Raw genomic sequence first — 26196 nt, forward strand, 5'->3', positions numbered from 1 at the left:
TAATATTTTGATACCTGTGTATCATACAGTGTGTAACGATCAAATCAGGGTAATTAGCATATTCATCACCTCAAACAGTTATTATCATTTCTTTGTGTCAGGAACATGCACAATCCTCTCTGCTAGTTTCAAATGCATTCTGTTTTATTTACTTCTTGGAGACAGGGTCTCACTCTGTTACCCAGGCTGGAGTGCAGGGGCACGATCTCAACTCACTGTTGCCTTAACCTCCCAGGCTCAAGCGATTCTCCTACCTCAGCCTCCTGAGTAGCTGGGACTATAGGCATGCACTACCATGCCCAGTTAATGATTGTATTTATTGTAGAGACGAGGTTTCACTGTGTTGCCCAGGCTGGTCTTGAACTCCTGGGCTCAAGTGATTTACCCACCTCAGCCTCCCAAAATGCTAGGACTACAGGTGTGAGTCACCATGCCTGGCCTCATTTTTTTTTTTTTTCTTTTGAGAGGGAGTCTTGCTCTGTCCGCCAGGCTGGAGTGCAGTGGCGCGATCTGGGCTCACTGCAAACTCCGCCTCCTGGGTTCACGCCGTTCTCCTGTCTCAGCCTCCTGAGTAGCTGGGACTACAGGCGCCCGCCACCACTCCCAGCTAATTTTTTTTTAAATTATCCTTTAAGTTCTAGGGTATATGTGCACAACGTGCAGGTTTGTTACATAGGTATACATGTGCCATGTTGGTATGCTGCACCCGTTAACTCGTCATTTACATTAGGTATATCCCCTAATGCTATACCTCCCCTTTCCCCCTGCCCCACAACAGGCCCCGGTGTGTGATGTTCCCCACCCTGTGACCAAGTGTTCTCATTGTTTAATTCCCACCTATGAGTGAGAACATGTAGTGTTTGGTTTTCTGTCTTTGTGATAGTTTGCTGAGAATGATGGTTTCCAGCTTCATCCATGTCCCTACAAAGGACATGAATTCATCCTTTTTTATGGCTGCATAGTATTCCATGGTGTATATGTGCCACATTTTCTTAATCCAGTCTATCATTGTTGGGCATTTGGGTTGGTTCCAAGTCTTTGCTATTGTGAATAGTGCTGCAATAAACATACGTGTGCATGTGTCTTTATAGCAGCATGATTTATAATCCTTTGGGTATATACCCAGTAATGGGATGGCTGGGTCCAATGGTATTTCTAGTTCTAGATCCCTGAGGAATCGCCATACTGACTTCCACAATGGTTGAACTAGTTTACGGTCCCACCAACAGTGTAAAAGTGTTCCTATTTCTCCACATCCTCTCCAGCACCTGTTGTTTCCTGACTTTTTAATGATTGCCATTCTAACTGGTGTGAGATGGTATCTCATTGTGGTTTTGATTTGCATTTCTCTGATGGCCAGTGATGATGAGCATTTTTTCATGTGTCTGTTGGCTGCATAAATGTCTTCTTTTGAGAAGTGTCTGTTCATATCCTTTGCCCACTTTTTGATGGGGTTGTTTGATTTCTTCTTGTAAATTTGTTTAAGTTCTTTGTAGATTCTGGATATTAGCCCTTTGTCAGATGGGTAGGTTGTAAAACTTTTCTCCCATTCTGTAGGTTGCCTGTTCACTCTGATGGTAGTTTCTTTTGCTGTGCAGAAGCTCTTTAGTTTAGTTAGATCCCATTTGTCAATTCTGGCTTTTGTTGCCATTGCTTTTGGTGTTTTAGACGTGAAGTCCTTGCCCATGCCTGTGTCCTGAATGGTATTGCCTAGGTTTTCTTCTAGGGTTTTTATGGTTTTAGGTCTAACATTTAAGTCTTTAATCCATTGTGAATTAATTTTTGTATAAGGTGTAAGGAAGCGATTCAGTTTCAGCTTTCTACATATGGCTAGCTAGTTTTCCCAGCACCATTTATTAAATAAGGAATCCTTTCCCCATTTCTTGTTTTTGTCAGGTTTGTCAGAGATCAGATGGTTGTAGATGTGTGGTATTATTTCTGAGGGCTCTGTTCTGTTCCATTGGTCTATATCTCTGTTTTACTACCAGTACCATGCTGTTTTGGTTACTGTAGCCTTGTAGTATAGTTTGAAGCCAGGTGGCATGATACCTCCAGCTTTGTTCTTGTGGCTTAGGATTGTCTTGGCAATGCAGGCTCTTTTTTGGTTCCATATGAACTTTAAAGTAGTTTTTTCCAATTCTGTGAAGAAAGTCATTGGTAGCTTGATGGGGATGGCATTGAATCTATAAATTACCTTGGGCAGTATCGCCATTTTCATGATATTGATTCTTCCTATCCATAAGCATGGAATGTTCTTCCATTTGTTTGTGTCCTCTTTTATTTTGTTGAGCAGTGGTTTGTAGTTCTCCTTGAGGAGGTCCTTCACATCCCTTGTAAGTTGGATTCCTAGGTATTTTATTCTCTTTGAAGCAATTGTGAATGGGACTTCACTCATGATTTGGCTCTCTGTTTGTCTGTTATTGGTGTATAGGAATGCTTGTGATTTTTGTACATTGATTTTGTATCCTGAGACTTTGCTGAAGTTGCTTATCAGCTTAAGGAAATTTTGGGCTGAGATGATGGGGTTTTCTAAATATACAATCATGTCATCTGCAAACAGGGACAATTTGACTTCCTCCTTTCCTAATTGAATACCTTTTATTTCTTTCTCCTGCCTGATTGCCCTGGCCAGAACTTCCAATCCTATGTTGAACAGGAGTGGTGAGAGAGGGCATCCCTGTCTTGTGCCAGTTTTCAAAGGGAATGCTTCCAGTTTTTGTCCATTCAGTATGATATTGGCTGTGGGTTTGTCATAAGTAGCTCTTATTATTTTGAGACAGGTCCCATCGATACCTAGTTTATTGAAAGTTTTTAGCATGAAGGGCTGTTGAATTTTGTCGAAGGCCTTTTCTGCATCTATTGAGATAATCATGTGGTTTTTGTTTTTGGTTCTGTTTATATGATGGATTACATTTATTGATTTGCATATGTTGAACCAGCCTTGCATCCCAGGAATGAAGCCGACTTGATCATGGTGGATAAGCTTTTTGATGTGCTGCTGGATTCGGTTTCCCAGTATTTTATTGAGGATTTTTGCATCGATGTTCATCAGGGATATTGGTCTAAAATTCTCTTTTTTTGTTGTGTCTCTGCCAGGCTTTGGTATCAGGATGATGCTGGCCTCATAAAATGAGTTAGGGTTGATTCCCTCTTTTTCTATTGATTGGAATAGTTTCAGAAGGAATGGTACCAGCTCCTCTTTGTACCTCTGGTAGAATTTGGTTGTGAATCCATCTGGTGCTGGAGTTTTTTTGTTGGTAGGCTATTAATTATTGCTTCAATTTCAGAGCCTGTTATTGTTCTATTCAGGGATTCAACTTCTTCCTGGTTTAGTCTTGGGAGGGTGTGTATGTGTCCAGGAATTTATCAATTTCTTCTAGATTTTCTAGTTTTTTTGAGTAGAAGTGTTTATAGTATTCTCTGATTGTAGTTTGTATTTCTGTGGAATCGGTGGTGATATCACCCTTATCATTTTTTATTGTGTCTATTTGATTCTTCTCCCTTTTCTTCTTTATTAGTCTTGCTAGCAGTTTATCAATTTTGTTGATCTTTTAAAAAAACCAGCTCCTGGATTCATTGATTTTTTTGAAGGGTTTTTTGTGTTTCTATCTCCTTCAGTTCTGCTCTGATCTTAGTTACTTCTTGCCTTCTGCTAGCTTTTGAATGTGTTTGCTCTTGCTTCTCTAGTTCTTTTAATTGTGATGTTAGGGTGTCAATTTTAGATCTTTTCCTGCTTTCTCTTGTGGGCATTTAGTGCTATAAATTTCCTTCTACACACTGCTCTAAATGTGTCCTGGAGATTCTGGTATGTTGTGTCTTTGTTATCATTGATTTCAAAGAACATCTTTATTTCTGCCTTCATTTCGTTATGTACCCAGTAGTCATTCAGGAGTGGGTTGTTCAGTTTCCATGTAGTTGAGCAGTTTTGAGAGAGTTTCTTAATCCTGAGTTCTAATTTGATTGCACTGTGGTCTGAGAGACAGTTTGTTATAATTTCTGTTCTTTTACATTTGCTGAGGAGTGCTTTACTTCCAACTATGTGGTCAATTTTGGAATAAGTGCAATGTGGTGCTGAGAAGAATGTATATTCTGTTGATTTGAGGTGGAGAGTTCTGTAGATGTCTATCAGGTCTGTGTGGTGCAGAGCTGAGTTCAATTCCTGGATATCCTTGTTAACTTTCTGTCTCATTGATCTGTCTAATGTTGACAGTGGGTTGTTAAAGTCTCCCATTATTATCATGTGGGAGTGTAAGTCTCTTTGTAGGTCTCTAAGGACTTGCTTTATAAATCTGGGTGCTCCTGTATTGGGTGCATATATATTTAGGATAGTTAGCTCTTCTTGTTGAATTGATCCCTTTACCATTATGTAATGGCCTTCTTTGTCTCTTTTGATCTTTGTTGGTTTAAAGTCTGTTTAATCAGAGACTTGGATTGCAACTCCTGCCTTTTTTTGTTTTCCGTTTACCTGGTAGATCTTCCTCCATCCCTTTATTTTGAGCCTATGTGTGTCTTTGCACGTGAGATGGGTCTCCTGAATACAGCACACTGATGGGTCTTGACTCTTTATCCAATTTGCCAGTCTGTGTCTTTTAATTGGAGCATTTAGCCCATTTATATTTAAGGTTAATATCGTTATGTGTGAATTTGATCCTGTCATTATGACGTTAGCTGGTTATTTTGCACTTTAGTTGATGCAGTTTCTTCCTAGCATTGATGGTCTTTACAATTTGGCATGTTTTTGCAGTGTCTGGTACCGGTTGTTCCTTTCCATGTTTAGTGCTTCCTTGAGGAGCTCTTGTAAGGTAGGCCTGCTGGTGACAAAATCTTTCAGTATTTGTTTGTCTGTAAAGTATTTTATTTCTCTTTCACTTATGAAGCTTAGTTTGGCTGGATATGAAATTCTAGACTGAAAATCCTTTTCTTTAAGAATGTTGGATATTGGCCCCCACTGTCTTGTGGCTTGTAGAGTTTCTGCTGAGAGATCTGCTGTTAGTCTGATGGACTTCCCTTTATGGGTAACCTGACCTTTCTCTCTGGCTGCCCTTAACATTTTTTCCTTCATTTCAACTTTGGTGAATCTGACAATTATGTGTCTTGGAGTTGCTCTTCTTGAGGAGTATCTTTGTGGTGTTCTCTGTATTTCCTGAATTTGAATGTTGGCCTGCCTTGCTGGGTTGCGGAAGTTCTCCTAGATAATATCCTGAAGAGTTTTTTCCGACTTGGTTCTGTTCTCCCCGTCACTTTCAGGTACACCAATCAGACACAGATTTGATCTTTTCACATAGTCCCATATTTCTTGGAGCTTTGTTCATTTCTTTTTACTCTTTTTTCTCCAAACTTCTTTTCTCGCTTCATTTCATTCATTTGATCTTCAATCACTGATACCCTTTCTTCCACTTGACTGAATTGGCTACTGAAGCTTGTGCATGCATCACGTAGTTCTTGTGCCACAGTTTTCAGCTCCATCAGGTCATTTAAGGTCTTTTCTACACTGTTGATTCTAGTTACCCATTTGTCTAATCTTTTCTCAAGGTTTTTAGCTTCTTTGAGATGGGTTCAAACATCCTCCTTTAGCTCGGAGAAGTTTGTTATTACCATTCATCTGAAGCCTTCTTCTCTCAACTCATCAAAGTCATTCTCCAACCAGGTTTGTTCCATTGCTGGCGAGGTGCTGCGTTCCTTTGGAGGAGAAGAGGCGCTCTGATTTTTAGAATTTTCAGCTTTTCTGCTCTGTTTTCTCCCCATCTTTGTGGTTTTATCTACCTTTGGTCTTTGATGATGGTGATGTACAGATGGGGTTTTGGTGTGGATGTCCTTTTTGTTTGTTAGTTTTCCTTCTAACAGTCAGGACCCTCAGCTGCAGGTCTGTTGGAGTTTGCTGGAGGTCCACTCCAGACCCTGTTTGCCTGGGTATCACCAGTGGAGGCTGCAGAATGGCAAATGTTGCTGCCTGATCCTTCCCCTGGAAGCTTCGTCTCAGAGGGGCACCCAGCTGTATGGGGTGTCAGTCGGTCCCTACTGGGAGGTGTCTCCCATTTAGGCTACTTGGGGGTCAGGGACCCACTTGAGGAGGCAGTCTGTCCGTTCTCAGATCTCAAACTCTGTGCTGGGAGAACCACTACTCTCTTCAAAGCTGTCAGACAGGGACGTTTAAGTTTGCAGAAGTTTCTGCTGCCTTTTATTCAGCTATGCCCTGCCCCCAGAGGTGGAGTCTACAGAGGCAGGCAGGCCTTCTTGAGCTGCGGTGGGCTCCACTCAGTTCAAGCTCCCCACCTGCTTTGTTTACCTTCTCAAGCCTCAGCAATGGCGGATGCCCTTCCCCCCAGCCTCGCTGCCACCTTGCAGTTTGATCTCAGACTGCTGTGCTAGCAATGAGTAAGGTTCTGTGGGCGTGGGACCCTCCGAGCCAGATGCAAGATATAATCTCCTGGTGTGCCGTTTGTTAAGACCATTGGAAAAGTGCAGTATTAGTGTAGGAGTGTCCCGATTTTCCAGGTACCATCTGTCATGGCTTCCCTTGGCTAGGAAAGGGAATTATCCGACCTCTTGCACTTGGGGTGATGCTCCACCCTGCTCCGTGGGCTGTACCCACTGTCTGACAAGCCCCAGTGAGATGAACCCGGTACCTCAGTTGGAAATGCAGAAATCATCTGTCTTCTGCGTCGCTCACACTGGGAGCTGTATACTGGAGCTGTTCCTATTCGGCCATCTTGGAACCTCCTCCACGCCCAGCTAATTTTTTGTATTTTTTAGTAGAGATGGAGTTTCACTGTGTTAGCCAGGATGGTCTCGATCTGACCTCGTGATCTGCCTGCCTTGGCCTCCCAAAGTGCTGGGAGTACAGGCGGGAGCCACCGCGTCTGGCCGCCTGACCCCATTCTTGATAGTATTAAATAATACCACCAGCATCCAGTTTGCTGGTTCAGTCTCTTGGGGCATTATTGCGATTTTTTCAATTTCCTTGTAGCATAACATATATATGTGTAAAATTCATGTAACGTTTTGGTATCTGTTCAAATGCTGTAAAGTTCAATTTTGAGGATAATCCCCAGGTAGGGCATGGGAGAGTGATGGTATTGTGCTTGGCTATTTGCATTGCTTCTTTATCAGAAGCATGTCGGAGTCCCATCTCATTTGTGATTACTTCCTCTCTTACTATAAATTGCTAGGTGGAGTTCACTCAGGTGACAGTTACTTCTTTCCCCCACCCACCATTAGTGACAAAAATTCCGACGGAAATGTTTAAATTCTTCCATTTGGGGTCCTATTCAACAATCAGTTAATAAAGCCGTGTTGTCTTCTAGCTTCTTTCAAGATACGTAACTAGCAAGTTCATCACTGAATCTCACTTTCTCTGGGTGCTTCCTACAATGTTAGTTATCTAGTTTGGGGGGCGTTTTAGTCATTGTTACTCTTTCCCCCTCTGCCCTTGTCATTAATGTGTCCTCTGGCTGTGGATTTCCTTAGGGTGAAGGACAGGCGAGACGTGCCTGAGTGGGCACAGAGCTTGGTCAGCCATGGATATGAAAGCTGCTATTTTCAGCCCTTCTGTGGGACCTGAGGGTCCGCGGAGGTGCATCCTGGGCCATCACCATAGGGTCAGGGGTTCAGTGGGACACTAAGAACAGGTGGGCTGCACCCTTTCTTCCTTCAACCACAGAGATCCAAAAGTTTGAATTTCGTTAGTTTACTTATTTTATTTTTAAATTTTAAATCACAGGTATATTGATGTATAATTTACGTACCATAAAACTCCCATGTTGAAAGTGTACAATTTGATGATATTTGCTCTATTCAGAGTTGTGCAGCTGTCACCAGTCTGTAATTCTGGAAGGTTTTCCTTACCCCACGAAGAACCCTGCACTAACCGCCAGTCACTCCCCACATCACAACTCCCCCAGCCCCAGGCAACCCCAGCCTACTTGTTGTCTCTACACATGTACCTGCTCTAGACAGTCCGTATACATGAAGTCATATAACGTGGCTTTTTGTGCCTGGCTGCTTCCACTTAGCATATTTTTTGAGGTTCATCCATGTTGCATATGTCAGCACTTCCTTCCAAAATTGCTGAATTAGATTCCGCTTTAGGGATACACCACATTTTGCTCACCCATTTATTAGTCAGTGAACATTTGACTTGTGTCCCCTTTTTTGCTGTTGTGAACAATGCTCCTATATGTATGTGTACAAGTTTTTGTGTGAACATATGTTTTCAGTTCTCTTGGGTATAGGAATAGAATTGTCTGCTGATTTCTTTTGAATGGGTGTTTTGCTGTGAGATTTCATGGAGAGGGAACATCTGGAGAACCTAACGTAGTCAGTAAGTTTTTGTATTACTGCCAAAAAGGCCAAGAAATGAGTCACCGGGAATTTCCTAAAGACATGTGCTTAGTTCCCTTCTATTTGCATTTAGTTCACCCGTGTTTTATTTTTCTGCCCCCACTCAGGAGAGGAGCTGCCTTTCTCTTCGAGACATCACGTCCAGCTGGCCCCAGTGGCTGCTCATCCTGGTGCTGGAAGGCCTGTGGCTGGGCTTGACATTCCTCCTGCCAGTCCCTGGGTGCCCTACGTAAGCGAACCCCTGGGGGTCATCCCTTGTGCATGTCCTGTTCTGCCCAGTCAGAGGTTCTGGGCTTTCACAGGTCTCGAGTCAGAGGAATTCTCTTTCCCTCTTCCTTCTCCTTTGAGGCCTGCTTTGCATGGGGAGAGGAGATTGGCACGTGTCCAGAGTGATTTCCCTGTGGGTGGTGTGAGGGTCAGCTTGAATAGAATTCGGGCCTCCCACCTTCATAGTGTGGGAGCAGTTTGTCAGTGAGCGTGCATGAGCCAGAAGGACGTTTTAGCTGGCTCATGTTTGGGGCTCTCTGAATTGGGCTGCATACATAGCCAATATAAACCATGTTTTTTTTTTCTCTTTTTGGAGATGGAATCTTGCTCTGTCGCCCAGGCAGGAGTGCAGTGGCATGAACTCGGCTCACTGCAACCTGCGCCTCCCAGGTTCAAGCGATTCTCCTGCATTAGCCTCCTGAGTAGCTGGGATTACAGGCGCACACCACCATGCCCGGCTAATTTTTGTATTTTAATAGAGACGGGGTTTCACCATGTTGGCCAGGTTGGTCTCAAATTCCTGACCTCAGGTGATCTGCCCGCCTTGGCCTCCCAAAGTGTTGGGATTACAGGCGTGAGCCACCGTGCCCGGCCTGAGGTTTTTTTATTCTTGTCCCTCTGTTCGCCCTTATGAGGTCTTGTCATTTACATATGCTTTTCACCTTCCTAGTGGTTATCTTGGTCCTGGGGGCATTGGAGATTTTGGCAAGTATCCAAATTGCACTGGAGGAGCTGCAGGCTACATCGACCGCCTGCTGCTGGGAGACGATCACCTTTACCAGCACCCATCTTCTGCTGTGAGTGAGACTCGAGTTCGCTTAGAACTGGAACTCAGGCTTTCAGAAGTGAAGGAAAGTAGAAAGAGCCAGCAAACGTTAAACCATGCCCATTTAAGAAAACACACTGAGAACTGATGATTATTTGAAAAGTCAGCTAACTTAATGACTTTAGGGATCACTGTATGGCAGTGTGTAAACATTATTTTGGATTTTAAAGTGAGAATGTGGAGCTGGACACAGTGGCTCACACCTGCATTCCCAGCTACTCGGGAGGCCAAGGTGAGAGGATTGCTTGAGCCCAGGAATCTGAGACCAGCCTGTGCAATAGTGAGACCCCGTCTCTGTAAGGAAAAAAAAAACAAAAAACAAAAAAAAAAGCAAGTGAGAATGCATTGTGTAAATGATCATAGCACAGTGCTTTTCTGTACGTCTCAGGTCGGATTTCCTGGCAGCAGACCCTGAGACAGAGGGTCACATGCAGGAAGTGGATCAGGCAGTCCTTGCGGGGGAATAAAGGAGGCAGGACCGTGCAGAGGGAGAAGTTGACCTGCACGGTCAACTTTGTAGGTAGCCCCAGCAAAGGCCCCAGCCAATCTTGGGGGCACCGGGGTGGCGCTGCAGAATTGTTCTGAATTGAGGCAAAGGTTTGGGCCCTTCCTACCCCTGGATGGTGCGGAAGGCCCCCTGCAGAAGGCTGATCCCTGGAGAGGTAGCTCTCTTTAGTCAAGGGCAGATCCAGAAGAGGCACCTGTCTGAGAGCTGTGGTCATGAATACTTCCAGCAGCTGGAGGAATGAAGGTTTTGTGCTGAAAGGGTTGGAGGGCTCTGAGGGTGTGTGACAGCACCTAATTACACTGTTCATTTCCAGATTTCTACAATTTCTGCAGTAACATTTATTTTATAATAAAAAAAGAAACATATTTAAAAATGTTATTTGCCTTAAAAGAAGATAGGAAGCTGTTGTTGCTACAGTAGGGTTGACCAAAAAGAATAAATCTGGAAATTAGGAAGGTACCGTGCATTGCATTTGAAGCTGGTCAGGAAGGCGTCATGTCACAAGGCCTGGAGCCAGCGCTGTTTGCTGCCCCCGCTGCAATCACAGTGGCTGCTGGACTGTGACTTGTCCCTGGGAGTCTCTGTTCCCTGCTGAGTGTCCACACTGCACACTTTCTTAGCCGGAAGCATTCTGCCTGTTATCCCTATAAGTTGGCAATGAATTTCTGCAGCAAAAACAGAAAACCATGACATACTGGAGTGTATTCAGGTTTGTATTTGGTCTAGGAGCTGTTTGTACGTGTTTTCAGATCAGTGAGTGAGTGCTGCCTTCTGCTTCTGTTTGTTAAGGTACTTTACCACACCGAGGTGGCCTATGACCCCGAGGGCATCCTGGGCACCATCAACTCCATCGTGATGGCCTTTTTAGGAGTTCAGGTATTTGTTCATTTCATTAGGTTACTTTTTCTGACAATTTATGATATTTTATTCACTCATTTAAAAACCATTTCATTAAAATAATTGGAAGCATATTCTCTCTTGTGCTATGGGCCTAATATATTCTGTTATCTTTGACAGATTGTGCAGAACCAAAAGTTACTGAAATTCAGCACATTCAAGTAATTAGATATAATTCTTATATTCTCAAAAAAATTCTTACTTATATGGCTTATCTTAGCACGGCAGTTTCTAGATAAAAGGTTTCCCTTGCCAAGCTGCAGTGGCTCATGCCTATAACGCCAACATTTTGGGAAGCCAAGGCAGGAGGATTGCTTGAGTCCGGGAGTTTGAGACCAGCCTGGGTAACATAGTGAGACCCTGTCTCTACAAGAAATTAAAAATATTAGCCAGGCATGATGGCACACACCTGTAGTCCCAGCTACTTGGGAGCTGAGGTAGGAGTATGGCTTGAACCAAGGAGGTTGAGGCTGCAGTGAGCCTTGATTGCACCACTGCACTCCTGGCTGGGCAACAGAGTGAGACCCTGTCTCAAAAAAGAAAAAAAGGTTTTCCTGATGGAGTGTGCAGAGTGTGTGGGTATTGGTAACATTGGGAAGTCACTGTGTCATTTGTCACACTTCTTTCATGTACACTCATATTAGTCTGTGTGTCCTGACCTAACAAAATACCCGAGACTGGGTAATTCATAAAGAACAGTAACACTGCAGGTTCATTTGTCTGGTGAGGGTCTGGGCTCTCCTCCCAAGGTGGCAACTTGATTGGGGCATGTCCTTCAGGGGGGACAAATGCTGTGTCCTCACACGGTGTCCCCACCAGCTGGTGAAAGGGCAGAGACAGGACTTACTGCCTCAAGCCCTTTTCTAAGGCCATTCATGAGGGTGGAGCCCTCACGCTGCATCCCGTGAATGGGATTGTTGCCCTTATGAAAGAGAAGCCCCAGAGACCTGCCTTGCCTCTTCTACCATGTGAGGACAGAACAAGAAGTCGCCATCTATCTGAAAACAGGCCTTCACCAGATACCGAATCTACTGGTGCCTTGATCTTGGACTTCCCAACCTTCAGAACTGTGAGAAATAAAATTCTGTTTTTCAGAAGCCAACAAAAAATTTTTTTTCTCCTCTGTGCTATCTAGTGGGACAGTCCCTAGCCAGGGTCGCTGTTGAGCATTTGAGATGTGGGGAGTGTGACTGAGGAACTGAATTTTAAATTTTACTTAATATGATTTTAAATTTAGATGGTCACTTGTGGCTAGTGGTTCGGCTGTTGGGTAGTGCAGATCTGAAGCATACACAGGTGACCCTGGAACACCTCGGGGCATGGGGACACTGTCCCCCCATGCAGTGGAAAATCTACAGAGGACTTTTGACTCCCCCAAAACTTAAACACTAATAGCCTGCTGTGGACCCAAAGCCTTACCAATAACATCAACAGTTGATTCACACATATTTTATATAAATATTATATACTGTGTTTTTACAATAAAGTAAGCTCAAGAAAAGAAAATGTTATTAAGAAAGCCATAAGGAAGAGAAAATCTAGTCCTATTCATTAAGTGGGAGTGGATCATCATGAAGATCTGCATCTTCATCATCTTCATGTTGAGTATGAGTAGTAGGAGGAGGAGAAGGAAGAGGAGGAGGAGGAGGAGGAAGAAGAGGAGGAAGAGGAGGAGGGAGTAGAGGAGGAGGAGGATGAGGAGGAAGAGGGGGTGGAGGAAGAGGAGGAGGAGGAAGAAGAGAAGGAGGGTGTGGAGGAGGATGGGGTGGAGGAAGAGGAGGAGGAGGGGCTGGAGGAGGAGGAGGGTGAGGGTGTGGATGAGGAGGAGGAGGGTGTGGAGGAGGAGGAGGAAGAGGAGGAGGGGGTAGAGGAAGAGGAGGAAGAGGAGGAGGAGGGGTAGAGGAAGAAGAGGAGGAGGAGGGTGTGGAAGAGGAGTAGGGGTCGGTCTTGCTGTCTCAGGGGTAACAGAGGCAGAAGAGAATCCGCATATAAGTGGACCTGCGCAGTTCAAACCTGTGTTGTTCAAGGATCAGCTGTACATTTTGGTGATGAAATAATTTTGTATTTAGAAATACGGCCTTTATCTCTGTAGCACTTTCTAGTTGATATTGTGCTTTTCCATATATTCCGTATATTCATGTAATCCCTACATACACTTTCTAGGTAGATCACTGGAGCGGTCAGTCCAGTGGGGAGGCTAGGAGTGCAGACCTGGAGCCACGCTCCCTGGGTTTGTGTCCAGCTCTGCCACTTCCCAGCTGGGTGACCTCGGGCGTGTGGCTGACTCCCTCTTGTGCTTCAACAGCACCTACTTCAGAAGGGTGTTGCAAGGATTGAATAAGTTAATTCATGTAAAGTTCTAAGAACTGGCACATAAAAAATGTTGATTAATATTAGCTATTACTATAAATTATTTTTAAAGCTTCTCATCCTTTGATGTTTTCAAAAATGAATACCTAATTTCAGAGGGATTGTATGTGAAGTCCATATTTCACTGTTTTTAAATGTTTCCCTGCCTCCCCCACCCTGCCTCTGGTTCCACCCTGTCCCGGTCCCTCTTCCTAGTGCTGCCCAGACTGGGTCACCAAACAGGCCTGTCTGACGGAACCCTTGTCACCTTTGTGGAGAATTCTCTTTGGGCCCTGCCTGGAAGTAAGAGCCACGGAGCCTGCCCAGGTGCCCCTTCTCCTCCTTTCCCCATGACCTGGGCTTCTGCATTCCCTGCAGCAGTGGAGATGTGGTGTGGCTACCATGCTTCCCCCGAGCTCTGTGCCTGCTGCCCCATTCTGCTCAGGAGCCTCTTCCTGCGGGGACCCTCTGGTGCTCTGGCCTCACCTCTGTGGCTCGTCCTCTCTGATGCCTCCTCCTCCCCAGAGAGGGCGTTCATCTCTGGTCCCATGCTCCTCTGTTAGTCTCCACTAGTCAAAGGCAGAGGTGATGTTTCCCGCCTCCCTGTAATCCCAGCACCTAGTAGCGTGCCCAGCAAGTGAATCTCTTTGTCAGGTAGTTAAGACAGTGGATTAATATGAAATAAAAATATCCCTTTGGCGATTCTTTTGGTCACACTGTGTTATCTCCTCCAGGCAGGAAAAATACTATTGTATTACAAGGCTCGGACCAAAGACATCCTGATTCGATTCACTGCTTGGTGTTGTATTCTTGTAAGTAAGCAGCATTCCTCGCTAAAATTCCTTTCCTTCACATGTATAGATATTTAAAAGGAATAAAATGTTTAGCAACACTGAGCTAGCCATTGTCACCACATGGCAGCAGGTACCATTTTCTTCACTTGAATAACAGAGAGGAACAAATCTTTCCACCTAAATGCACAGATTTATTTTCTTAGGAAAATGTCTTTATCAATAAGGCAGTGTTTGCCATCAGATAGCCAGGAATGCCTGAAGAAATGTGAGGTATGGGCTCTGTGTGGAGAGGCGTATCAGAGAGACTGGGCAAATCAGACCAGGTTGCAGACATCAACTTCCAGATTATATGGGAAAGAGAGTTGCAAGGTTGACTGTTTGTTCATTTCATCCTGACCGCAGCCATGCCTCCTCTTCAGAGTCACTGTCATTTAATCAGTAAGCTTACCCTCTTCAACTCAGTAGAATGGTGAAGAGATTTTGGGAGAGTATTTTTCAGTTCATACATTTAAAAAAATATGTTTCCATTTAAAAGAGAAAAATATAAGGCACAAGTTTCAGCCCTCTCTACGTGATTAAATAACTAATATATATTGGTGTTGAAACCAAGTGTTTTCTGAGATAATAATATAAAATGTTAACATCCTTCTCTTCCCCATTACAGGGGCTCATTTCTGTTGCTCTGACGAAGGTTTCTGAAAATGAAGGCTTTATTCCAGTAAACAAAAATCTCTGGTATGTATGGAAAAAGCATGATTTTATGGATGACTGTTCATGCTGAAATTGGATTTGTTCCGTACGAGCACTGAAACGTCTCCTCCACCCCTCCCAGGTCCCTTTCGTATGTCACTACGCTCAGTTCTTTTGCCTTCTTCATCCTGCTGGTCCTGTACCCAGTTGTGGATGTGAAGGGGCTGTGGACAGGAACCCCATTCTTTTATCCAGGTAAGTCACCTCCAACCTCAAACAGAGCTGGGATGGTGACCAGGAGGCAGGCCCAGGGACCTCTGGAGCATCCTTGGTGCTGGGGTCTTGAGCCACTGCCCTAGCGGCAGGTGTCCAAAAGCCAGGCTGAGGGAGGAAGCAGCAGGGCCCACATTGTCCCAGCCCACACCAGATGTCACTGGCCTGCTCCAGAGCAGTCCACCCCATTTTCACCGTGTAGGTTGTGGAGTCGTTGTATGACAGTTTGTGACTCCACCTGTTTCTTCAGGCTATACCAAATTGTGGAGGAGCGGAAATGATTCAGGGCACATTATCCAGTTTCTGGTTCTTTTTTTTTTTTTTTTTTTTTTTTTGAGACAGAGTCTTGCTCTGTTGCCCAGGCTGGAGTGCAGTGGTGTGATCTCGGCTCACTGCAAGCTCCGCTTCCCAGGTTCACGCCATTCTCCTGCCTCAGCCTCCTGAGTAGCTGGGACTACAGGCGCCCGCCACCACGCCCAGCTAATTTTTTGTATTTTTAGTTGAGATGGGATTTCACAGTGTTAGCTAGGATGGTCTTGATCTCCCGACCTCGTGATCCGCCCGCCTCGGCCTCCCAAAGTGCTGGGATTACAGGCGTGAGCCACCGTGCCCAGCCTCTGGTTCTTAATAATGGTGCTATGCTTGCTTTCTTAATATAAATCCACTACTATAGAGATTGTGCATTAGAAGAAATAGCAAGAGGTGATATCAAGGGATAAATGGAATGATTTAGATGCAGTTCCAACCGAGGACTTAGAAACACATCAGATCATTTCAATGCCTCATTTCAGCCCTTTGATTCGAGGAATAGTTACATTCTTTGGACCTCAGATTTTCTGCCTAGAAAATATAAGTTATTAATAATAATTTTAGCTTTCCTTTCAGATTTAGTTTTCAAGAATTGTACTGTTATAAAATGAATATTATCTAATACCTTTTTTGTGTTTTTGAGACACAGTCTTGCTCTGTCGCCCAGGCTGGAGTGCAGTGGTGTGATTTTGGCTCACTGCAACCTCCGCCTCCCAGGTTCAAGTGATTCTTGTGCCTCAGCCTCCCAAGAAGCTGGGATTACGGGCACACCCCACCACGCCCGGCTAATTTTGTATTTTTAGTAGAGACGGGGTTTCATCACGTTGGCCAGGCTGGTCTCGAACTCCTGGCCTTAAGCGATCCACCCGCTTTGGCCTCCCAAAGTGCTGGGATTATAGTCGTGAGCCACTACACCAGGCCTTTCAATAATTTTTGATATGGTTTATATTTAAATACCTAAGATATGCATTACTTATTTTTGGCAGTAGCCAACAATGGAAGTGCACACTTTCTGTTTTTTCATTGAACTGGTTTCAAGAATTAAATAGATGGTTAGATGTGACTCATCTGTGAGAAACATGATCTTCTGTATGTCTCTCTCCTTAAGGAATGAATTCCATTCTGGTATATGTCGGCCACGAGGTGTTTGAGAACTACTTCCCCTTTCAGTGGAAGCTGAAGGACAACCAGTCCCACAAGGAGCACCTGACTCAGAACATCGTCGCCACTGCCCTCTGGGTGCTCATTGCCTACATCCTCTATAGAAAGAAGATTTTTTGGAAAATCTGATGGCTCCCACTGAGATGTGCTGCTGGAAGACTCTAGTAGGCCTGCAGGGAGGACTGAAGCAGCCTTTGTTAAAGGGAAGCATTCATTAGGAAATTGACTGGCTGCGTGTTTACAGACTCTGGGGGAAGACACTGATGTCCTCAAACTGGTTAACTGTGACACGGCTCGCCAGAACTCTGCCTGTCTATTTGTGACTTACAGATTTGAAATGTAATTGTCTTTTTTCCTCCATCTTCTGTGGAAATGGATGTCTTTGGAACTTCATTCCGAGGAGATAAGCTTTAACTTTCCAAAAGGGAATTGCCATGGGTGTTTTTCTTCTGTGGTGAGTGAAACAATCTGAGGTCTGGTTCTTGCTGACCTTGTTGCCCTGCAAACTTCCTTTCCACGTGTACGCGCACACCAACACGAAATGCCATCACTCCTACTGCGGCTGCTATGAAGCTTACTGGTTGTGATGTGTTATAATTTAGTCTGTTTTTTTGATTGAATGCAGTTTAATGTTTCCAGAAAGCCAAAGTAATTTTCTTTTCAGATATGCAAGGCTTTGGTGGGTCCAAAAAATGTCTATCACAAGCCATTTTTTCCTTTTCCTCTCTCGAAAAGTTAAAATATCTATGTGTTATTCCCAAACCCTCTTACCTATGTATCTGCCTGTCTGTCCATCATCTTCCTTCCTCCCTATCTCTGTGTATCTGGATGGCAGCCGCTGCCCAGGGGAGTGGCTGTGGGGAGGGCAGGTACTGTCTTTGCCTGTGGGTCCAGCTGAGCCATCCCTGCTGGGTGATGCTGGGCAAGACCCTTGGCCCGTCTGGGCCTTGGCTTCCTCACTTGTGAAATGAGCGGGAAGATGACTCTCAGTTCCTTCCACCTCTTAGACATGGTGAGGTAACAGACATCAAAAGCTTTTCTGAAATCTTCAGAAGAAATAGTTCCATTACAGAAAACTCTTCAAAATAAATAGTAGTGAAAACTTTTAAAAACTCTCATTGGAGTAAGTCTTTTCAAGATGATCCTCCACAATGGAGGCAGCGTTCCTACTTGTCATCACACAGCTGAAGACATTGTTTCTTAGGTGTGAAATCGGGGACAAAGGACAAACAGAGACACACGGCATTGTTCATGGGAGGCATCGTCACCCTCCTGGGTGTTCTGTGGGAATTTCCTGTGTGAGGAAAACGTGGCCACAGGGTTGTGCTGTACCCACCCTTCCCCGGCGAGATGGCCCTCGGCCTGTGCCGCTGCTTCCACCCTCGCCACTCCATGGCAGCTTTTGGTCTGTTTCCGGCTCTGCCCTCTGCCCTGAACTCTCATCCGGCTTGTACCTGCCTGCTGGACCCCTCCACCTGGAGGCCAGCCCATGTCTCAGGCCCAGCCCTAGCCTCTTCTCCTCAAATTCTAAGTGTTTTCTCTTTAGGTTTCCCTGGCTTTGTGAATGGATCATGTGTCTCTAGGTATAAACCTGACATCATCTTTCCACCCGGCTTACCTCCACCAGATCTCCCCAGTTCTGTCTCCATCTTCTACCTGCAGCTGCTCTGTTCTCATGGTCACTGCTGCATCACTGAGTCTGGACCCTTGTTATCATTTTCAAACTGGCCTCCTTCCCTCGTTCCCCACTTCTTAAAGTCACCTGTCCATTGCCACCAGATTAAGCTTTCTCCAGCCAGATCACCTCTCTCTGAGAAACCTCCATTGACATGGAAACACCATTGTCTGGCACACATACTCACATACTCACCTTCCCGTCTTGATCCCCACACATCTTTCCAGCCTCCCCTCCCACTCCACTCCCTGCTCTCTCCTCCACCTCCCCATCCTCTTGTCTCCCCTCCCCTCTGAATCCAGCCCAGCGGGGCTTCTCCTGCCTCCATCACATCACAGAAGTACCTCCTGCTTCTGGTTTTAATTAGAGCCTTCCCCGATTACATTTTCCTCTGAATTTTTTCCTATCTACATTTGATCTGTCATGTTTAAACCCCCTACTTCTAAGGGAACTTCTCTAATCTCTTATCCTCATCCCCAAATAGTGTTTTCTTCCTCTGGGTTCTTATAATGTTGGTATCAATCTCACAGCATTTAGTGCTTCCTGCCTGGTGTGACAGTTACCTGTGTGCATGTGCAATTTCTAATTTCCCACGCTAGACTGTGAGCTTCCTAAGGCAAGAATCATGCCTTGTTGGTTTCTGTATTCCTCATGGTGCCAAACACAGTGCCTTCTACATTGCAGGCGCTGAATAAACATTTTTAAAGCAAAATGATGTGGATTTTTAAAATAAATATTTAAGTGCTGGTAAGATGAGCATGTATCCGGGGTGCCCATGAAATGTTCTTGGGGCCGTGTGGGGACAGTCGTCATTCCTCCTCCTGCCACCCTTTTCTTTCAGTGAGTCACTGTGGATGGTCCCAGCTGTGTCATCCCAAAGTTCAGCAGGGAAAGCTGAGCTGGGCCTCTCCAGGTGAGTTTTCTAGAAGCATTTCTCAAACTGTGGGTTACATCAACTTGGGTGTCTTGAGCTGTAAGGAAGGAACTCCGGAGTCAGCTGGGCTACAGGGGAGCTTCTCTAAGTCCTGCGGGAGGCCAGACCCAGCCTGAGCTTGCTGTTAGCTAGCGGAGGCAGCTGCTGGTGGCCCAGGTGCTCGACACCAGGCATCCCCTCTCCTCCCACGAAGGGTGTGCCATAATCCCCTTCAACAGGAAATGCTTCCCAGAAGCCTCTCAGCAGCCTCCCCTCCTGTCCTATCAGCTAGAAGCGCCTCGCTTGTCCCAAGACCAGCAGGGACAGGGAACTGTCCGAGCCCGTGGCTGTGTGGAGGAAGGCGACCCCCAGCACAAGATTGGTTTCCTTTGGGAAGGGAAGAGGGAGTGTGTTGGGGTAAGGGGTAGAGCAGAGGAATGGTCAGGGGGCAACAACCGCTGACAGCTGCAACAGGTGCATGGCATCTCACAGGGAGGCAGGGAGGTGCGAGCTCCTAAGTAATGGAGCAAAAAAATTCTATTCTGTAGAATGGGGAGAGAAAATGTGACATTTTAATTTTTTTTTGCATTTATATTCCTAATTCCTACTTAAAGTGAATATACTGCCGCTGTAGATCATAAAATGTATCTTTTCCATGGCCAACAAGGGGCATCTTTTATAAATGCATAATAACCCAGTTTGTATCAAAGGGTATCGACTTAAGTGAAATTTCAACATGCTGTTACTTTTTCCTTTTAATGTAATTCTGTTTTCCAAATAAATGGGGGAGACAAATGGACTTTGAGTAAATTTCTTAGCATATCAAACTGCCTTTCACAAACAGATCTTTGTATGGATTCTAAGAAGACTAGGAGTAACTGGGTGCAGTGGCGTGTGCCTATAGGCCCAGGCACTCGAGAGGCTAAGGTGGGAGGATCCCATGAGCTTAGGAGTTCGAGGCTGCAGTGAGCTATGATTGCACAACTGCATTCCAGCCTGGGTGACAGAGCAAGACTCTGTCTCTAAAGAAAGAAAGCAAAACAAAATTAGGGATAGAGTTTTAAAAGTGCTAAGCAATACACCATATAATCCATGACCCTATTAATAATGAAGCTTCTGGCATAATTCCAGCTTTTAAAGTCTTTATCACACCTCTTGGTAAGCTTTGAAATTAAGTGGGGAAACTTACCAGTTACATATTTGTGTAATCTATCAGTTTTCACTAGAATGTAGTAAGCCAGCATTTTTCTTTTAGTAATAGGTTTCTGTTGAGCATTCATTTTAAAATTGTTCTTCAAGCTACATGCATTTCCAAATTCAAAGTGGATGGAAATGCTTGGCCAGGCGTGGTGGCTTACGCCTGTAATTCCTGCACTTTGGCCAAGGTGGGTGGATCACTTGAGGTCAGAAGTTCGAGACCAGCCTGGCCAACATGGTGAAACTGCTTCTTTACCAAAAAATACAAAAAGTCAGGCATGGTGGCAGGCACCTGTAATCCCAGCTACTCTGGAGGCTAAGGCAGAGAATTGCTTGAACCTGGGAGGTGGAGGTTGCAGTGAGCTGAGATCACGGCGCTGCACTCCAGCCTGGGTGACAGAGCAAGACTCTCTCAAAAACAAAAAAAACAAAAACAAAAACAAACTAACAAAAAACAAAGTTAATGGAAATGCTAGATGTTTGCATTATGCCATAAAATGCCTCGGACTTCATAAATGCCTTATCTAATTGTGTTTGTCAAAAGACTGTAATAGGCAAAATACGCCATCACCTGCTGGCTGTTCTTTCCAGAATTCCATCCAAAGTGCTAGATGTGAGGACAGCTGTCTTGCCCACTGTCAGGAGGAGCTTGTGGCTTCCCACAGTGTCCATTACCATTTGCGGTTCGGTGGAATCCTACTCTGACTACTGGAAATTTTTCTGTAGAAATCAGTTCTTTTTCTGATTTTCCACCTTTCATGGTCAGCTGTTCTTGTATTTTATCGTATATGTAGTCACACCTATACTTCCATAAACGAGAGTTTCTATTCTGATATTTGGTCACAGTCTGAGTGTCATTTGGCTACAAACTGGTGCCTCCCTCTCCCTACATCCTATGCGGCTCTGTCCAGGTCACAGCTGGTTGAGCAGAGGTACAGCCCGGCAGTGTGACAACCCCAGGTGATGCTTTCCTGTCAAAGGACACTAAGAGGACACTGGCCACTAACACTGTCACAGCAGGGAGGTGCAGCGTGAATGGAGAGCAAAGACTGGAGACGTCTTAAAGGGCGGGGTGCGTCACCGAGGAGGCACTGAGCGGGATGGCTGTCCTTGTGACCACGCCACCTGGATTCTGTTCATTGGCGTTGTCCGGGGGAGAAACAAACCGTCTGTCTTTGTAATAGGAGGCAGCGATGCAAGTTGTAGGAAGACGCCCACTGAATTGTGGCTTGCACAGGCAGGAGGGCCCTGGCGTGAGGGGTGGCCAGGGAGAGCCCAGTGAGGGACGCAGCTCTGGGGCCCCGCGCCCCTGGAGGTTGCCCCGGAGGCAGGGCCTCGACCTTGACCCACAGGGCTGGGTGGGGCTGAAAATGGGCTCCCAGACCAGCGCGAGGAGCTGCGCCCAGGCCTAGCAGGCGGTTTGGCCGCGGCTGCAGCTTAGCGTCTAGGCCACGCCAGGCAGGCTCCCGGAGCCGTCCACTGCCCCACCAGGAACGTTCCGGGCTCTTCTGCTGCGCGCGGAAGCAAGTGAAATCCAGCCTCAAAGACTCTGATGGAAGAACACCTGTGAATACCGCGCCCTCTAGGCGTCCGCCACACCCCACGGCCCCCCAGACGGGGTCTTCTTTTGTTGCCCAGGCTGGAGTGCAATGGCGCAGTTATGGCTCAATGCAGCCTCGACCTCCCTGGCTCAAGCCATTCTCTCGCCTTAGCCTCCCAGGCTACAGGCGCGCCAACACGCCTAATTTTTTTAAACTTTTTTTTTTTTTTTGGTCTAGCGACGGGGCTCACTCTATTGCCTAGGGTGGTCTCAAACTCCTGGACTCAAGCGATCCTCTGGCCTCGGCCTCTCAAAGTTCTGGGATTTCAGGCATGAGCCACCGCACCGGTCCTTGAGACTTTTGACCTCCGTGCCCGCCCCTCCGGAATGCCCACCCCAGCCAAACTCCTCTCTCTCCTCCAGCTGGTGGCTGGGGCACGGCCCTCTCCAACACCTCTGCCCCTCCGCTATTGAACTTCACATCCAAGTTTATGTCACTTCTCTGTGCCCAGGCCATCGGATGGCCCCAGCTGACAGTGGCATCCCGTCCCTACAGTTTGGGGCTTCACCCATATTCACAAAGGACCAGGGGGGTAAGGACCCCCAACCAGGCACCCACGTTGGTGAAGGCTCCCCACTTCCTCCATCAGAATCCACCGCTGGGGAACCCTGGCCATTCGCGGGAGCTCCCAATATTCCCCAGTAGGCGCCCCGCCCAAACTACATCCCTTCTCTCCACTAGACCTGGGCTACTCTCTGGGAGAATGAAATGGCCTCTGCCAGACAGGGACTCACCCAGGACACAACCCCTCATCCCGTTGAACAGACTGCGTATGTCCTCTAGGCTCAAGGAAACCTGACTTGCTGGGCCTGGGGCCCTTAGGCCTGCTCTTATTCAGTATTCATAAGAATCAGCAAAGCGTTTCATAGAGTCCACAGATTCATGCAAAAAGAGGAGAAAAGCACAAACACAGCAGCACACATGCACAAGCACACACACACATGCACACACACATGCACACACATACATGAATACACACAAGCACAATGCACAAACATACACGTGCAAACACAGACAAGCACACACACCACACACACAAGCATACACATATGCATACATGCACAAGCACACACATACATACGCACCCAAGCACACATGCAAACATGCACACATGCAAATACAAGCAAACATGCACAAGCATACAGATATAAGCACACACAAGCACACACACACAAGCACATATACACCCAAGCACACATACACCAAGCACACACACAAACACACGCACAAGCACACATGCACAAGTGTGTAGAAACACACACAAGGACATACGCACAAGCATGCACATGCATAAGCACACACAAGCACACATGCACAAGTGCACACGCACAAGTGCACACAAGCACACGCATAAACATGCACGAGTACATACGCACAAATGCACACGTGCAAGGACACAGACACGAGCATACACATACGCACACACACACACAAGCCCGCATGCACAGAGACCTTCAAGGGGCTCCCCCCCGGCCCAAGAGGAAGTCATTCCGACTTCCTGCCTAGGTCCTGCAGCCAGAGCAGCAGCAAATGCCCCAGGAGACGGTCCTTTCAACTTCCTGCGCCCCTCGGCTCTCTGACAGGCCCAGGCCAGGCCTTATTATCCCTCAGTGTGGAGCCCAGTGCAAGCGCCATCACCTGCTGGAGGGAGCCGGGACTCCGCACCCGGGCCTGCCCGTAGAAGCCTCGTGCGCTCGTGGCTTTAGTGTGCCCTTTTCCTCCATGCCTGCAGTAAGAGCTGAGGCTTGACCAAACATTCCGTTTGTTTCGAGCATTGGTAAAGAGCAGGCCAAAGGGCCCGAGGCCCCACGTTGGCGGCTGCCTTGGGACTAGCAGGCACGCTTTGCAGGATGGGTCCAGTAGGTATAGAGATCGTTTGCGTTCTTGGTCCATCTCTGTCATTCCCCTAGAGAGCAGGGTAGGCCTAGCCCCCATCTCTGTCATTCCCCTAGAGAGCAGGGCAGGCCTAGCCCAAGGAAGGTCTATTCGGCCACAGGTTTGGGCCACAGCCCCTGGTTTGGCGAAAAGGGGGGTGCATGCGGCTGGCCTGGGCAGAGGACATAGGCAACCTTTGCCGATGGGTTCCTGGGCCCCGGGTCCTGTCCACCCGTGGTCATATGTGGACATGGGTGAAGCTCCAAACTGTAGGGATGGGATGTAACTGCCAACAGGGGTGAGAAGGTCCTGGGCGGGGACCGTGACAGAGGCTCCTGTGTGAGATGTTTGACAGTGGAGGGGCAGGAAGTGATGGAGGGGGCCGTGTTCAGGCCATCTGTAAGAGGAGAGAGAGAGGCAGCTGGCAGTGGGTGTGCAGTAGGGGTGGCCACAGAGAGCCTAGAGGCCCCCTATTCCCAGACAGACTCCCATCCAAATCCTTGGAGAACCCCATTAGTACAGCCGGGAGGGGAAACGGTATGGAGGTTCTTCAAAAAATTAAAAATAGAACTGTGATATGATCCAGCTGTGCTAAGTATTTATCTAAAGGATATGGATTTTGCATATTGAAGAGATATCTGCATTCCAGTGTTCATTACAGCATTGTTCATAAGAGCCAACCTTATGAAGTCAACCTAAGTGTTCATGAATGAATGAATGAATCCAGAAAATGTGGTATATATTGACAATGGAATACTAGTCAGCCTTTAAAAATAGAAAAGGGAATCCTGTCATTTGTGACAACATGGATAAACCTGGAGGGCATTAACTGAAATAAACTAGGTACAGAAAGACAAATCCCACATGATCTCACTTATGTAGAATCCAAAAAAGGAATTCACAGAAGCAGAGAGTAGAATGGAGATTGTCAGGGGCAGACGAGTTGATTGAGGAGATGTGGGTCAAAGGATACAAAAGTCCAGTTAGACAGGAGGTATAAATTGAAGAGCTGCATAGTGCAACATGGTGACTAGAGTTAACAACAATGTGTTTACGTCTGTGAACCTGCAGAGAGAAGTCACTTGAGAACTGCTGAGACAGTAGATTTTAAGTGTTCTCCCCACAACAATAAAAGTTTGTTAAGTGAGGATTATGTGAATTAGCTGGACTTAGGCATTCTACAATATATACATATATCAAAACATCACGTTGCGCACATACATATATACAATTTTTATTTGTCAATTAATAAAACTTTGATAACAGAACACCATTATGATATTGACTATTGAAGCTTATACTTTGAAAATTTTCTAATAGCAACATTGTGTATTTACTTCATACTTTATATTACTGTATTCAGTTTACTGGGTTCTTATGAAATAAAATAATGCAGCAAAAACAAAACACATCATCTTCTTTGTACATTTCTGGCAAGACATCTGCATAGTAAGTAATTTGGCTTTGCCCAAAGAGAGGTCTGGCCCCTTCTGTTGACTTCAGGGAGGTAACCCATATCACACCTGACAGAGTGTCCTTGTGTAGAGCCGGGCTGACCACACTGGATCTAATGGAGAGGCTGCCCACACCTAACAGTCTCAGGGTATGGGGTGATTATGCCAGAAAGACCAATCATGTAACCTAGGGTAGTGGCTTTGGTCCCCTGATATGAGTTTGTTTACCTGATGACTGACTTGACCCATGTGAGAAATCATCAGTCAGTCAGTCATGTCTACATAGGAAAGCCCCGGTCAGATCTCTGGACAGCAGAGTGTGGGTGGGCTTCCCTAGCTAAAAATACTCCTAGTGTGTTGTTGTGTATCCATGCAGGTAGGCTAACACATCCGGAGGACAGTGGAAGCTTTGCATTTATAAATCTCCCAGACTCAGCTCTGTGGGTCTCCTCCTTTGGCTGATATGAGTTTGTACCCTTGCCCTGTAATACACTATAACCATGAGTATAATAGCTTCCACTGAGCTCTGTGAGTCCTTCTGTGAATTACTGTATCTGACAGTGGTTTTGTGAACACCCCAAGCTTGCAAAGGCAGTCTTAAGGAATGTGCCATGAGACTTTGCAGTTTGGCTACTTCTGGGGAGTACTCAACAGCCAATCTCCTAGCATACTATTATTCTATAATATGCATCAGGATTAATCAATATGCACTTGGGCTTAGCTGTAAATTTATGAAAAATAATTAAAATATGTATCTGGTAAAATAAATACCAGTAGCTGTATGCATTCGGCCCTAACTAAATGCTAGGTACTAGACAAGTATTATTTGCTTGGTTTATCACACCAACCTGTGAGATACATAGTTATGCCTAATTCTAAGGAAGAAGAGAAATAAAAAATTTAAAAAAAACCCAGTTGATTAGAATGCTACTCACACACTGTGTTGGGAGAATGTTATTTTAACAGTATAGACATGGTGACTATAACATGTTTAAAAGCTGTTTCTTAGAATGCTTTCTATACACTATGTTGCAAATAGTTTTATTTCAGAGACTGGATATGGTGGT

General features: G+C 45.8%; 1 protein-coding gene across 8 annotated transcripts in view; it reads left to right on the forward strand.

Annotated features, from left to right (window-relative positions):
- Nucleotides 1-19829, forward strand: part of HGSNAT (heparan-alpha-glucosaminide N-acetyltransferase) — a 62392-nt gene extending 42563 nt beyond the window's left edge. For 3 of the 8 annotated variants that reach the window (XM_005273409.2, XM_005273411.2, XM_047421388.1), the window contains 8 exons: nt 8448-8569; nt 9278-9404; nt 10731-10817; nt 13404-13514; nt 13922-13999; nt 14646-14716; nt 14814-14926; nt 16362-19829. In XM_005273409.2, coding sequence (XP_005273466.1) covers nt 8448-8569; nt 9278-9404; nt 10731-10817; nt 13404-13514; nt 13922-13999; nt 14646-14716; nt 14814-14926; nt 16362-16543 — 891 coding nt within the window. In that variant the 3' untranslated portion in view covers nt 16544-19829. Of the gene's footprint in view, nt 1-8447; nt 8570-9277; nt 9405-10730; nt 10818-10958; nt 12472-13403; nt 13515-13921; nt 14000-14645; nt 14717-14813; nt 14927-16361 lie in introns of those variants that run through there. The other 5 variants (NM_152419.3, NM_001363229.2, NM_001363228.2 and 2 more) reach the window with 3 other exon arrangements.

This window comes from Homo sapiens, chromosome 8, assembly GCF_000001405.40.
Source record: "Homo sapiens chromosome 8, GRCh38.p14 Primary Assembly".
Classification (NCBI taxonomy): domain Eukaryota; kingdom Metazoa; phylum Chordata; class Mammalia; order Primates; family Hominidae; genus Homo; species Homo sapiens.